The sequence below is a fragment of the Homo sapiens genome, chromosome 7, assembly GCF_000001405.40.
Source record: "Homo sapiens chromosome 7, GRCh38.p14 Primary Assembly".
In the NCBI taxonomy this organism is placed as follows: Eukaryota; Metazoa; Chordata; class Mammalia; order Primates; family Hominidae; genus Homo; species Homo sapiens.
The window spans coordinates 151,106,069-151,119,637 of NC_000007.14; the positions used below are offsets into that span (position 1 = coordinate 151,106,069).

A 13,569-nucleotide genomic window follows, 5' to 3' on the forward strand; every position below is an offset into this window, starting at 1 on the left:
CTGTCAGTGGCCAGCAGTGAATTTCTGCCCCGCCAACAGAGTTGAAAAGTTCAGGTACTCTGAGCATTGTGTTGCAGTGGCACTTGTCCAGAATTGGTACCTCCCCATAGTTGGGGGCTTTAAATGTACCAGTGAAAATAGCTTTTTCCTCTTCAAGCGGAAGAAAGAAAATCACTCCTCAAAACACAGCAGATCTGGGTGTGAGGTCTTTCCTTTTGTCTCTTCAGGCTGGTGAAAGAGTCTTTGCAAAAATTTATATTAAATTAAATTATTTATTTTTTTGAGACAGGGTCTCACTCTGTTGCCTAGGCTGGAGGATAGTGGCACAACCTCGGCTCACTGCAACCTCCACCTCCCAGGTTCAAGTGATCCTCTCACCTTAGGACTACAGGCATGCAACACCAGCCTCAGGTGCTTTTTTTTGTTTTTAAGATGGAGTTGCACTGTCACCCAGGCTGGAGTGCAGTGGTGCAGTCTTGACCCACTGCAGCCTTCTCCTCCCGGGTTCAAGCAATTCTCCTGCCTCAGCCTCCGGAGTATCTGGGATTACAGGCACGTACCACCACACCCAGCTAAATTTTGTATTCTTAGTAGCACAAAGTTTTGCCGCGTTGGCCAGGCTGATCTCGAACTCCTGACCTCAGGTGATTCGCCCGCCTCAGGCTCAGGATTTGAAAGCCTCCCAAAGTGCTGAGGTTATAGGAGTGAGCCACCACGCCTGGCCTCTCAGGTGCTTTTAAACTTCTGTCCACTAGACTCTCAGCCTGTCTGAATCTTTTAAAAAATCGCTGCACTGTTACCTGCAGTGGCCTAGAGCATCCCTCACAGTGCAGCACCTTCGCACGTCTGCACCTGCACTTTCAGCAGCTGTTTTCCACACTTCCTCCACATCAGTCCTGCAAAATTAGTGCAATGATTTGAACACTTTATTGCATCTTCTGTTTATAAAAATATTTTGCGGCCGGGCGTGGTGGCTCACGCCTGTAATCCCAGCACTTTGGGGGGCCAAGGGAGGTAGATCACCTGAGGTCAGGAGCTCGAGACCAGCCTGGCCAACATGGTGAAACCCCGTCTCTACTAAAAATACAAAATTTAGCCGGATGTGGTGGCACGCACCTGTAATCCCAGCTACTCGGGAGGCTGAGGCAGGAGAATCACTTGAACCCGGGAGGCGGAGGTTGTAGTGAGCTGAGATCGTGCCATTGCACTCCAGCCTGGGCGACAAGAGCAAGACTCCGGCTCAAAAAAAAAAAAAAAAAGTTTTTGCTTTTGGGGCCAGGCACGATGGCTCATGCCTGTAATCCCAGTACTTTGGGAGGCCAAGGCAGGCAGATTGCTTGAGCTCAGGAGTTGGGAGGCCAGCCTGGGCAACATGGTGAAAGCGGTCTCTACAAAAAAAATACTAAACCTAGCTGGGCGAGGTGGCACACCTGTAGTCCCAGCTACTTAGGAGGCTGAGGCGGGAGGATCGATTGAGCCCAGGAGGTCAAGGCTGCAGTGAGCTGTGATGGCGCCATTGCACTCCAGCCTGGGTGACAAAATGAGACCGTCTCAAAAAAATTTTTTTTTTTTTACTTTTGTAAAAAATACAAAGGCAAGTGGAAGGGATGGTGCTGCTGACAGGGAATGAATCTCATACTTGGAATGCATTTTAGAGGCTCATTGGGTTGGAAGAGGCAGAACTCTAGCTCATGGGACTGCAGCTGGCCTGCCTGTTCAGAGAGAACCACATTTTTAAATGTCGAAAGTGTAGGCGATGGGTCAGTTATGAGAAAAAGGTGCAACACGGCATAGAGCCGTACGATGCTTCATATTCTGAGTCTGGAGCCCCCACCGTCCCACCCTGTGGTGGTGGCCCACCTCCTGCCCCCACCCTTCAGGCCATGGGAGGGCTGGAGATGCTGTGAGGTGTAGGATCCTCTGGCACGGCACCGGCCCATGCGGGGGGTGCAGCACATGCTGGTCGCGTTCCTCTCCAGGGAGGAGCTGCTAGAAAGCAGAGCTAAGCCCACAGTTGCTGTTGCTGGTCAGAGCTGGAGTGGCGTCACGGGCACTTCCAGGGTCTTAGAACATGGCCAGATGGGACAAAGCCAGGAGGCCAGATGGGGGACATGCTAAGGGACCGAGTCTTCGAGGGGAGGGCCTTTGTCCTGTCCACCATTGCACCCAGCACAGAGCTCATGGATAGACAGGAAAACAAACTGCTCTCAAGTACCATCTGTAGTACTACAATACCGCCATGTCACCGGCCTGGTGTCGAAAGGCCATTTTCGGCTGGAATGACAGCCACTCCCACCCCCACCCTGGGGTAATCTCAGTTTCCCTGCTCCTTGCACTGCTCTCGGTCCTGTGGCTCTCTCTGCCACCCGCACCCCCACCAGCACCTCTGCCGCCTTCTCTCCCTCAGCTTTTCCCTGGGGAGGAGAGGACCAAAGTCACTGGGGAGCTCTCAGACCGACATCCTGACCTCTGGAGATGGGGCAGAATCCCCGGGCCTCAGAGCAGCCTTCGGAGGGTCCCAAGGATGTAGGCTGGGTCCTACGCCAGTCCAGACTGCCAGCCGCGTCACCTTGAGGCAGGGTGGGGCAGAGACTTCAGTCTGCTTGCCCTGAATGCACTTAGTAAGCACTCAAAAAATAATGTGAAATGATGACTTAGAGGCCCAAGCTCCAGCCTGGGATTCTGGAGTCCTGGGCCCTGCCCAGGCTCTGTCACTGCTGGGCTGTGTAACTGCAGGCAAGTGACTTCCCCTCTCTGGGTGTCAATGCCCTCATCTCTAAAAGGAGAGGATGAACCAGAACACGAGTTCTGAACCTGGAACCCATGGCAGGGATTAAGGGGACTCGGACCTCCTCAGAAAACACCTGTGTGTTCTTCCCAGTATGCACTAGCTTTTCTGGAGAGCTCATAGCTTCCTAGGGCTGTGGTAATAAACCATTGTAAACAGGGTGGTTTGAAACAACCTAAGTCTGTTCCTAGCTGGCTGCGGTGGCCCATGCCTGTAATCCCAGCACTTTGGAAGGTCAAGGCCAGTTGATCACTTGAGCCCAGGAGTTCTAGACCAGCATAGGCAGCATAGTGAGACTCCCACCTCTGTAAAAAAAAAAAAAAACAAAAAACAAAAAACAAAGAAAACAAAGAAAAAATAGCTGGACATGGTGTTGCATGCCTAAAGTCCCAGCTACTTGGGAGGCCGAGGCAGGAGGATTGCTTGAGCTTAGGAAGTCGAGGCTGCAGTGAGCTGTGATTGCCTGGTTAACAGAGGGAGACCCTGTCTCAAAAACCAAAAAGTTTACTGTGTCACAGTTGTGGAGGCCAGATGTCTGAGATAAAGGTGTGGGCAAGGCCACGCCCCCTCTGAAGGCACTAGGGAGAGATCCGCCCCACACCTCTCTTCCTGGCTTGTCGATGCCGTCTTCTCCCTGCATCTCTTCACATTGACTTCCCTTGGTGTCTGTCGACATGCCCAAATTCCCCCCTTTTATAAGGACACGAGTCAGATTGGATTCAGGGCCCACCCTACTCAAGTATGACCTCATCTTAATTACATCTGCAACAACCCTATTTCCAAATAAGGTCACATTCTGAGGTCCTGGGGGTTAGGACTCAGGGCTCTCCAGGGTCCTCCGTATCTCTGAGGTCTCTTAGAGGGGAGATGGAGGGACCAGCCCAGGAATCAAAGCCAAGCTGAGGGGGAGCTGCTAAGGTTTCATGGGCTGACTGCATCTGCCTGGCTTTCTGATGTGGAGAGGGCTGGTTTCAGTGATCCCAGCGTCCACTCTGGCTCTCCCTTGCGCAATAGGAGCAGCTCCTTCTGTTGCTTGCCCGCTGCACGCCAGGCACCATGCGGCCCTCCATGCTCACAGGGCTGGCCTGCACAGCACCTTTAGCTGGAAGCTGGGCCATTCCTAATTTACAGACAGACCTGAGGTTAAGGAGACCGTGGCTGGTCACCCACCAATAGGTGCCAGAGGCTGAACTTGAATCCAGCTTTCTCAACTCCAGGGTGCGCCGTGCCTTTCAACTTGGGGCCTGTGCAGATTATTTTGCCTGTGCCTGTGACTTCTCTCAAAAGACTGGCCCAGCCAGGGCCCATCTCTCTTAGGCCTTCCTCCCCACAAAGAGGCCAAAAGCCCTGGGAGCACAGTGCATGCTCAGCAAAGACTTCCACTCATTCACTCGGGGAATCATGGCCACCTTCATGTGCCTGGCAGAGTTCTGTTGTGGGGGCACTTGCTGACAGTGGCAAGTGTTAGATGATGTTAGCATGGTCACTGAGATGGTCAGCCTCCCAAGGAAGGGATGCTTCAGCCACGGTCCAAATGCCTTCAGGGACAAGCAGGGCAGAGGCCCGGGAGGTGTCAAGGCTGGATGGGGATGGAGGCGGGTCCTGGGGAGGGTGTCAGGTGAGAGCAAGCAGGTAGTCAGGAGCACACGGGGCACTGGAACAGAATAAGGGGATTGGGTGCCATTCTACGCCAGCTGGAGAGCCATTGCAGGGCTTTGCTGAGAGGTGACCAGGTTCTGGTCTGAAGAGGTCCGCCCCAGCTGTAAAGGAAATCACTTGGCAGTGGTGGTGATGGAGGCTGGAGATGGGAGACCCCTAGGAAGCTGATGTGGTGCTTAGGCCCGGGAGGATGGTGGCTTGCCTTTGAGTTGAAGAAAGGAGCTGGTGATGGATCTGGGCCACATTTAGGAGGGAGCGCCACCAGGACTGACACGGATTGGGCTGGGGGAGTGGTAAGGAAGGGAATGGAGGGTGTTACTAGCAGGCTTTTGGCTTGTGCGGCTCCAGAGCTCATGTGGTGCTGTTGAAAATGGGGGATGCTGGAATGGAGCTGTTAGGGGTGGAATTTAGGTCCATGGCTGCTGCTGCAGCAACTCGAGTTGTCTCGGGACAGCTGCTGGGACACTTAGGGAGGACTGTGGCCCCACTGGGGAGGCATCCTGAGCGCTCTCCCCCCGCCCCCCGTCTTCTCCTCTGATTCCCTAAGCTCCAACTTGGAGAGCCTGCTGGACACCAGCCAGTCCTGGGGGGCGAAGGGGTCTTGGTGTGGCCCCCACTGCCTCCCGGGCTCAGTGGCGGGTGTGTGGCCAGCCCTAGCATCCTGCCAGCCTTCCCAGCCACTGCCTCAGCCCCGGCTGCAGGAAGATGTTTTGCTGCCACCTTGTGGGCAAGAAGGGCCTGACTGTTTGGGAGGGCCACGGTGGTTCTGGGACCACACCTGGCTGCTGGTGGTTCTGCTCCACACCCTGCGGAGCTGGCCACAAGCTCCGGCTTTCAGGAGAAGGCTTATCCATCCTCCCTCATCTCCTCGAAAGAAATCTGCCAACTCCCTGTGGGCCACGTGGGCTGCAGCGGGCACAGCCAGGGCTCACCAGTGGATCAAGCAACACACACCTGGAGGCGACCAGTTCCCACATCCTCAGGACCAGCTTTCTCTTTCTGGCAGGGTCTCACACCTCACACCTGCCCAGGGGTGTTCTCTCTCCCCGTCATGACCCCCCCGGCCCCTCACCCCCCTGTGCACACGCAAGCAGGGCACCCGAGGCCCAGGCCAGCACAGAAACTGGGCATAACTAGAGTCGGCTTCTCCTCCTGACATCCAGGTAGTCCACAGAAGGGGGTCTTGAGCCCGGCTTCTGCGCTCTCTGGCTCCGGGGCAGGCTGTGTTCGTCCTGCCCCAGGATGCACACTGCGGGCATTTGTGAGAGATTTCCTCTTAGTCCCCCAGAAACTGCCATGGAGCCTCTCAGCCCCTGAGAGTCACATTCAGTCCAGCGTTTCCGGTGGCCTTAATAAACAGAGAACTGACGTGAGGGCTTGTGTTGTGGGATTTCAGTACTGTTCGTGTAGTCCCAGCCTGGAGCTTTTTAGGTTTGTCCTAATTTCCTTCGGGCCCAGTAGGTAGTGGCTGTCTGTGTCGAGCACAGCTGTGTTTGCTGCGTGTCTTTGGAGCAGAATCTTATCAGGCACAACAGAGACCTTATCTCTGACCCTGGGCTGACCCAATGAGCAAAAGAGGTGTGTGCCTGCAGCTGTTCTCCTTTTCGGGGTCTTTGACTGGCTTGATGTCCTGAGACATTTATGTGGGAGCAGGTGCCCTTCCCTGTCTAGTTTCTCCGGGTCAGGAAAGTTTTCTGGGGAAAAGGACTGGGAAGGAGAGGGCAGCCAGGTGAGGAAGAGAAAGCTGTTCTGGGTTTGGGAGTTGACCCAGGTGGCACTTTCTCCTTGGACTGATTCTGCAGGTGCAGTGGGACTACATGTCTTCTGAGACTGTAAGATGTTCTTTTGGGGACTGGGATTGCTGCCTGCCTTCCCCGAGACGTGTGTGTGTGTGTGTGTGTGTGTGTGTGTGTGTGTGTGTCCAGCATGTGTGCAGCTGGGGCCTTAACCCCCTTCTTTCCCATCCTACTGTTCTCCCACTGAAAGAGGCAGCTAGGTTCTAAAGTGATCCATCCCCTGTCGGATACCGTGTCCCCATCCCCTCTCCGTCTCCAGAGGTCGGCTCCCATAGCTGCTGTCCTGTGCTTGCTTCTTATTTATTGAGACAGGGTCTCACTCTGTGGCCCAGGCTGGAATGCAGTGGCTCCATCTTGGCTCACGGCAACCTGGACCCTCTGGGCTCAAGCGATCCTCCCACGTCAGCCTCTCAAGTAGCTGGGACCACAGGCTCGTGCCACCATGCCTGGCTAATTTTTCATATTTTTTTTGTAGAGACGGGGTTTCACCATGTTGCCCAGGCTGGTCTCCAACTCCTGGACTCAAGTGATCTGCCTGCCTCGGCCTCCCAAAGCGCTGGGATTACAGGCGCGAGACACGGTGCCTAATTTTTTGTATTTTTAGTAGAGATGGGGTTTCACTACGTTGGCCAGGCTGGTCTCGGACTCCTGACCTCAGGTGATCCGCCTGCCTCAGCCTCCCAAAGTGTTGGGATTACAGGTGTGAGCCACCGCGCCCGACCCTTTGCTTGCATTTTCACTGGCTTGCAGGATGAGCTTGTGAGTGGGCAGCCTTATTCTTTGGCAGAACAGCCATTCCCTGTTGTGCGTGAGAGAGAGGGCAGATACACGTAGATAGGGAAGTCAAGGCAGAATGTGTTTCCTTTTGATCTGCAGCTCAGTGACGTTGGCCGGCTTCACTGAGTTGTGTTCTTGTCTCTGTACCTGCCTGGGGACCTGGGAAGGGCCCCTCTGCTGGTACTTCCATTGTGGGGGGAACATGCATCCCATACAGGAAGAAGCCGTCTTCACCAACGCTAATAACTAGTCCCACGGAAATACAAACTCACCACCAGGGCCTCTCCAGGCCTGGGAGATCCAGCCCAGGACTTGGGAATTTCCAGCGCTCTTTTCTGCAGGGAGCACCTAGGATGGAGAGGCCCTGCCTTCCTTAGGCATTCCCACTCAGCCCCTCAGGAATGTGCCACTTGTATCTCCCACTTGGCTCTGACCAGGTCCATGGAATTCTAAAGCTGAAAGGGACGCTGGGAGTTGGGCTGGACTGGGGGTGGAGGAAAGTGGGCAGTATTGTCTTTTTAAAGGAAATGCAAGCCCCTGGTCCCTTGCCACTACTTAAACTGGTTTCTCCTGATCCGTGGCTGGTATTGAGGCAGCCAGTGGTTTCTGACTTTATGGATGACCGGAAACTGGCTGGGCTTCAGAGCCTGGGAGAGGACTGATGTTTACAATGCAGTGTCAATCACAGCCGGGGAGCTCTTGCCTCCAATTCTGGGTGAGCTCTGGGTTTACTGGGTGTCCAGGCAGCCCACAGTCATGAATTGGAAGGGCCTCGGAGCTTGGAGGAGTGTTTTCATTTACAGAACGTCAGGCTGGAGCCAGTACCGCAGGCTACCACTTGATCTCAGCCCATCATCCCGACAGGAGGTGAGACCCAGTGAGCAGCAGGGGCCTGGAGAGGTCCGGGCCTCAGAAGTGAGTCACTCACCCAGAACTGCAGCGGAGGTTATCTTTGACTTCTCTGCTGCCCTTAGGCAGGACGCTTAACTCAGTCCAGACAGATGAGTATCTTCTGGATTTTATAATCTCCAAAGAAGACAGCCTCAGTCATCAACAGAAACCGACTGTAGCAGCCAGCAACTCTCGACCTCAGAATGTCAGAGCCGAAACTAAGACAGGACCACCTCGTTGAAGCTCGCGTGCTGCAGACGAGGACACGCGCGCAGACCCGGCATGGCTGCCTCTGACGTCTCACTCAGGCTTGTCATACTTCTGGGCCTCATGTTCTTGGCTCTTCTGGCTCTTCCTTTGAAGAATGAGAAATGGCCCGCTTTTCTCCAAAATGGGGCCCAGTGTGTGGTGGACTGAGGACTGTTATTTAGTTGGCCTGCTCGTAATGACAGCTCCTCACCTACCTGCCGGATCCTAGGAGGCGCCCTGGGCTGGAATTTCCTGTTTTCGAGGGCTCCCAGGGGCTGCCCCAGCAGGCCGGCTCCCCCGCGCCGCGCCGCCGTTCCCGGGCGTTCCAGGCCAGACTTGCCGCCTCTCTCTCCGGGCTGGGCTGACTCCCGGCCTCTCCAGGTCTGGGCTTGCCGGCCGCGAGGTGGAGGAGTTGAGGGACTCGGTCGGCCCACACCAGGTGCCCAGAGGCCGGAGGTCCGTGCGCCCCGGCCGCGGCCCCGGCCCGGGCCCAGCCCCGTGCCCCTCGCCATGGGCCTGGCCCGCGCCCGCCGGCCCTGAGCATGGAGCGGGGCTGGCCGCAGGGGGACAGCTGTCCCGGGGAGCGGCCCGCCGCTTGCCGCCGCGCCCACAGCGTCTGCGACTCGCTGGACCTGCACGGCGCCTCGGCCGGCCGCGCTGCCGCCGCCCTGCAGGCCGCCCTCTGCGCCGCCAGTGAGCAGCCGGCGCGGCCGCGGAGCGTGTGCTCGGGCGGCCCGGAGCCGCCGCCCACCGGCGCCCGCGGCCTTTTGCTCGGCCTCCTGCGCCCGCGCCTCGGCCGCCGGGGCCTGGCGCCCTCGGGACCGCCCGTCTCGCCTGCGCCCAGCCCCGCGTCCAGCCCCGCGCCGACCCGGCGCAGCCGCACCCGCGGGGAGCCGACTCCGCGGCCCCGGCCGGCCAGCATGACTTTCCTGGAGGTGAACCGCCTGGAGCTGGCGGCCGCCGAGGCGCCGGGCGCGGGTCTGGGGCGCGCGGGCAGCGCGGGCTTCCTGCGCGGCGCGGCGTTGTGGAGCAGCCAGCGCTGGCCAGTGCTGCGCGGCGGGCGCGGGCCGGAGGGGCCCCGGCGCGGCCTGGCGGCGCTCAGGAAGAGCTTCAGCTTCCGCCTGCGCCGCGGCCAGGAGGTGCGGCGCTCCGAGTCAGGGCTGCTGGCCCGGCCGCCGCGCGCGCGCACCCGTAGCGACGGCGACGCCGGCTCCCTAGGCGCCTTCCCCAGCCGCCGCGACCTGCTGGGCTCCGACGCCCCGCGCGCAGCGCCGGAGCCCGGCCGCCCCCGCACCGCCGCCGGCCTCTGGAGGCTGCTCACGAGCCGCTTCCGCCGGAGGGAGCCCGCGCCCGCCGCGCCGCTGTGGGGCCGTCGGGCGGCTGCGGCCCCGGAGCTCCTGCGCGCGCCCAGCGGTAAGGGGGCGGGCCTGGGGGGCGTCTGGCAGAAAACAGCTCGCGGGAGAAAAGCCGGACGCGCCCAGGGCAGGCGAGCTGCCGCGCGCGTCCGGGGCTGGCGGGGTCTGGGGTCTGGACCGAGTGTCGTCCGCGCCTGGCGTCTGGGGTCTTCGGCAGTGGCCGAGGAGGACAGGCCGGAGGGGGAGCTCTCGGGTGCGGCCCAGGAAAGGAAGAGGAGACTCACCAGAGTCAGAGGGCTCTGGGCTAGGCCAGACACCTTTCCTAGTTCCCTGTCGGGGCAGCGCGCTCGCCTCCGGTTGCCCCTGTGCATGAGGTTAGGGACTGCTGTGGACCTGGTCGTCATAACTGCTCTTTGACACAAACTTGGGACAGTGCCTCTGGGAGCCAGGGAGGGAAGCAGTGCTGCCCAGCTAGAGAGGGGTTCCCAGAGCTAGCCCGAGCACCCATGTGGAACCTGGAGGTGACGGAGATGGGGGCCTGGCTGTCGGAGGGCTCTGGGTAAAGGGACTTGCCAGTCAGGTTCTGAGGACAGACTGAAGGGAAGGGAGCCCAGGAGGCGGCCTCCCTGCTAAGGAGGAGCTTAGAGAGGAGGCGGGTGGGGTAGATGGCTCCCTATCCACCTGCCCCTGGCAGAACAGGGCCAGGCCAGGCCAGGCTCCTCCCTCTTCACCCGGCTCAGGAATGTGGTGGGTGGCCCCACCCTGCCAGGGTGCGCTGTTCTTACTTGCAGGAGTCTGCCCCCCAACCAGGTGCCCAGCCCTTGGGTCTGTTCTGAGACCTGCTGGAGTGGCCTCTAACCTGGGCCTGGTATTTGGGCCACAGGGGCACTAGGCCAGGTGTGGCTTGGTGGGGGGACAATAAACCTGCTGGAGCAGGAAGAGGAGGAAGGACACAGGGCCGAAACCAGGGGGACTGAGCCCACAGCCCTCAGAGTCCTGTTCTGAAGACCATCCTTACTCTGCTTCACTCAAGAAGAACCTTCCCACTGCCTCCTGGGGAACTAGGGGTGAGGGTTGGGGGTCCCGTGGAGGAAGCTGCTGTCCTCTGGCCTGGGCTTGGGGAGGGCATCATAGGTGACACAGGCAGCAGTGGTTGGGACAGGTGTGTGTGCCACCCTGGCCCTGACGGGGCGGCTCTGTCTTCCGCAGACTCGTTTGTGAACAGCCAGGAGTGGACGCTGAGCCGCTCCGTACCGGAGCTTAAAGTGGTGAGTGTGGCCCATGGGCAGCACCGGCGGCCTGGAGCTGGGGGGGCGAGGCTGGGTGCCGCGGGCCTGGGCCTTGCTTCTCCGGCTTCTGTCCCCTTCTCTGCTCAGCTTGGCCCTCTCTGCCCTCTCTCCTCCCCTTCAGCCCTGGCCTTTCTCCCTCCTGCTGCTTCTTTGCTTTTCCTGCTGGGTCTTCTCCCTCGTGCCCTCTGCCCTCTGACCCACTCACCCCTTCCTCTCCCGCAGGGCATAGTGGGGAACCTGTCTAGCGGGAAGTCAGCCCTGGTGCACCGCTATCTGACGGGGACCTATGTCCAGGAGGAGTCCCCTGAAGGTGAGCGTCACAGGCCCAGCCTGGGCCCTGAGGCCGGCCACTCCTCCAGCTCCTGCCCACAGGGTCTGGGTGGGGGGTCTCCAGCCCCCTTCCAGTCCTCTTCCCTCCCGCATGGGAAGCTGTAGATTTCTTCTTGGCCCCTGGATTCTTTCTCCACACTTTGGACCTGACTGCGCGCTCTGTCCTAGGGGGGCGGTTTAAGAAGGAGATTGTGGTGGATGGCCAGAGTTACCTGCTGCTGATCCGAGATGAAGGAGGCCCCCCTGAGCTCCAGGTGATGCTCCTGCCCAGGGTTAGGGCCCACCGCTGTGCCTGGAGCCCTTTCTCGAGCTTGCTGGTTGGGACTGGGAGAGGTGGTATGTCCAGGGAGAAGGGTCTACTTGAGTTCACCTGCCCTGCATGGGAGTTTGCCAGGTCCAGTTGCGGGTGCTAATTTTACTTGCTCTACCCTAGTTTGCTGCCTGGGTGGATGCAGTGGTGTTTGTGTTCAGCCTGGAGGATGAAATCAGTTTCCAGACGGTGTACAACTACTTCCTGCGTCTCTGCAGCTTCCGCAACGCCAGCGAGGTGCCCATGGTGCTTGTGGGCACGCAGGGTGAGGCGGGGCCCTGCAGGAGCTGGCAGAGAGCAGGAAGTCCCGGGCAACGATGCATGGGGGCAGGGGTGGGCAGGTGTGAGAAAGCCCCCAAGCCCCTACTCTTTTCCCAGTGCTGACTGGGACCCTCAGCACTCTCCGTGCTGCTCGTGTCTGAGGGCTTTTGCCCCCACTGAAACCTGCTGTCCCTGTGACTAGCAGGTCTGTGTTTTTTTAGATGAATAAACGTGCTCAGAGCTTAAGTGCTTGCTGGTTTGCACTCAGTGAGGCCATGGAAGGGTTGAAATGAGACCCAGGCACCCGCGTTCTTGGTGCTCTGTGTGTTCCACTCACCAGGCCCTTTGCACACCTGCCCTTGGGCCAAATGCCCCCCACCACACTACCCCAGCTTCTCCGAAAGCTGAATGACTCCCGCCCTCCCACCTCCAACAGATGCCATCAGCGCTGCGAATCCCCGGGTTATCGACGACAGCAGAGCCCGCAAGCTCTCCACAGATCTGAAGCGGTGCACCTACTATGAGACGTGCGCGACCTACGGGCTCAATGTGGAGCGTGTCTTCCAGGACGGTAACTCGGGTGCCGGGTGGGAGTCACTGGCAGCCGCGGCCCCAGTGCTGGCGATAGGAAGGCTCCCAGTGAGAGCAAGGCTGTGTGTCTGGGGGGAGGTGCTAAGCCAGGCTTTTCCCTTCTCTCCAGTGGGTATAATTGACTCTGCTGTCCCCTGCAGTGGCCCAGAAGGTAGTGGCCTTGCGAAAGAAGCAGCAACTGGCCATCGGGCCCTGCAAGTCACTGCCCAACTCGCCCAGCCACTCGGCCGTGTCCGCCGCCTCCATCCCGGCCGTGCACATCAACCAGGTTCGGCCTGTGCCCCGCCCTGCCCTTCCTGTCCCCACCATGTCTGTCTTGCCTCTGTGCGTCCTGCCACTTCTGCTGGCCTCCTGCTCACACCTGTCCACCTTCCTCTGGCCTCCCAGCCTTGCATGTTGCTTGGAAACATTGGTTGGAATTCCATTTAGCCGGCACCGTAGCCTTGGCCTCATCCCTGCCCCACGGTGCCTGCCCCTTCCCGCTGCAATCCCCACTTCTCTCTGCTCTCCACCATTCCACAGCCTGCATTCCCTACCCCGATGCCCTCTGCTGAAAGTCCTGGGCCATCCACAGGTGGCATGGTCAAGGCAGCAGCCACTGCACTTTACCTCTGCCAATGACCGTCATCTCTCCAAGGCCTGCCCTGGCTGCAGCTGGTATTCCAGTGACAGCCTGGTTGCATTTCAGAGACCCTTCCCTTCAGGGCTGTGAGAAGGCGGCAGCGTTCCCATGTGGGAAAAAGGAGGAGGAGGGCTGTGTCCTTCTTACTGTCTCTGAGCAGCCCCGCCCGACACCGACGGAGTGGGGCTTGCGCAGCTCACTTCTGCAGTGGTCCCTGTCCCGAGGGGCAGGTTGTGGAGGGGCAGTGGTCCAAGCACCTCTTGTACAGGTTAGGGTTCAAGGGAGGCAGCCGGGTAGGCCACACGCTCTAGTGAGGGCAGTTGCGGTGCAGACCACCTGGTTGTGCCGTGCATGCTTCCCGAGTCCTGGAGGAGCTGCCCTACTGTTTCTTCTCCATTCTGTGATCTCTGTCTTTTTCTCTTTCTTTCCCTTCTCTGTTCCACATCCACACCTTACTCTGATTGGGAGTCATAGCTCTGTTCTCTCTGCCCCAGCTGTCCCGGAATCCCTTTCCCTGCCATGGGCATGCTAGAAACATGCTGCAGTGCCCTGGGCCACCTCCGGCTCCCGCCTCCTGGCCTCCTGCACTCTAAACATACATACCTGAATGTGAGAGTTTGTCCGGGGTGACCCTCTACCTCCTTCCAGACC

General features: G+C 59.0%; 1 protein-coding gene across 23 annotated transcripts in view, besides 3 other annotated features; it reads left to right on the forward strand.

Moving 5' to 3' along the window:
* The window catches only part of AGAP3 (ArfGAP with GTPase domain, ankyrin repeat and PH domain 3), a 58,568-nt gene that overhangs the window by 20,202 nt on the left and 24,797 nt on the right, over positions 1-13,569 (forward strand). For 9 of the 23 annotated variants that reach the window (XR_007059984.1, XM_047419866.1, XM_047419867.1 and 6 more), the window contains exons 1-7: positions 8,570-9,573; positions 10,725-10,783; positions 11,027-11,114; positions 11,303-11,388; positions 11,568-11,709; positions 12,142-12,276; positions 12,437-12,564. Coding sequence is in view for 20 of the 23 variants with exons in the window: in XM_047419866.1 (XP_047275822.1) it covers positions 8,703-9,573; positions 10,725-10,783; positions 11,027-11,114; positions 11,303-11,388; positions 11,568-11,709; positions 12,142-12,276; positions 12,437-12,564 (1,509 nt within the window). In the remaining 3 variants the exon portion in view is untranslated. Of the gene's footprint in view, positions 1-8,569; positions 9,574-9,864; positions 9,890-10,298; positions 10,583-10,724; positions 10,784-11,026; positions 11,115-11,302; positions 11,389-11,567; positions 11,710-12,141; positions 12,277-12,405; positions 12,565-13,569 lie in introns of those variants that run through there. The other 14 variants (NM_001350104.2, NM_001281300.2, NM_001350103.2 and 11 more) reach the window with 4 other exon arrangements.
* Positions 2,110-2,772: an enhancer, noted in NCBI's record as "H3K27ac-H3K4me1 hESC enhancer chr7:150805265-150805927 (GRCh37/hg19 assembly coordinates)". NCBI's record gives its function as "activates a minimal SCP1, AML or CMV promoter by ChIP-STARR-seq in naive H9 embryonic stem cells {active_cell/tissue: H9 hESC(naive)}" and the evidence as "EXISTENCE:reporter gene assay evidence [ECO:0000049][PMID:30033119]".
* Positions 9,205-9,254: a silencer, noted in NCBI's record as "silent region_18801". NCBI's record gives its function as "represses an Ori minimal core promoter by ATAC-STARR-seq in GM12878 lymphoblastoid cells {active_cell/tissue: GM12878}" and the evidence as "EXISTENCE:reporter gene assay evidence [ECO:0000049][PMID:35858748]".
* Positions 9,455-9,514: a silencer, noted in NCBI's record as "silent region_18802". NCBI's record gives its function as "represses an Ori minimal core promoter by ATAC-STARR-seq in GM12878 lymphoblastoid cells {active_cell/tissue: GM12878}" and the evidence as "EXISTENCE:reporter gene assay evidence [ECO:0000049][PMID:35858748]".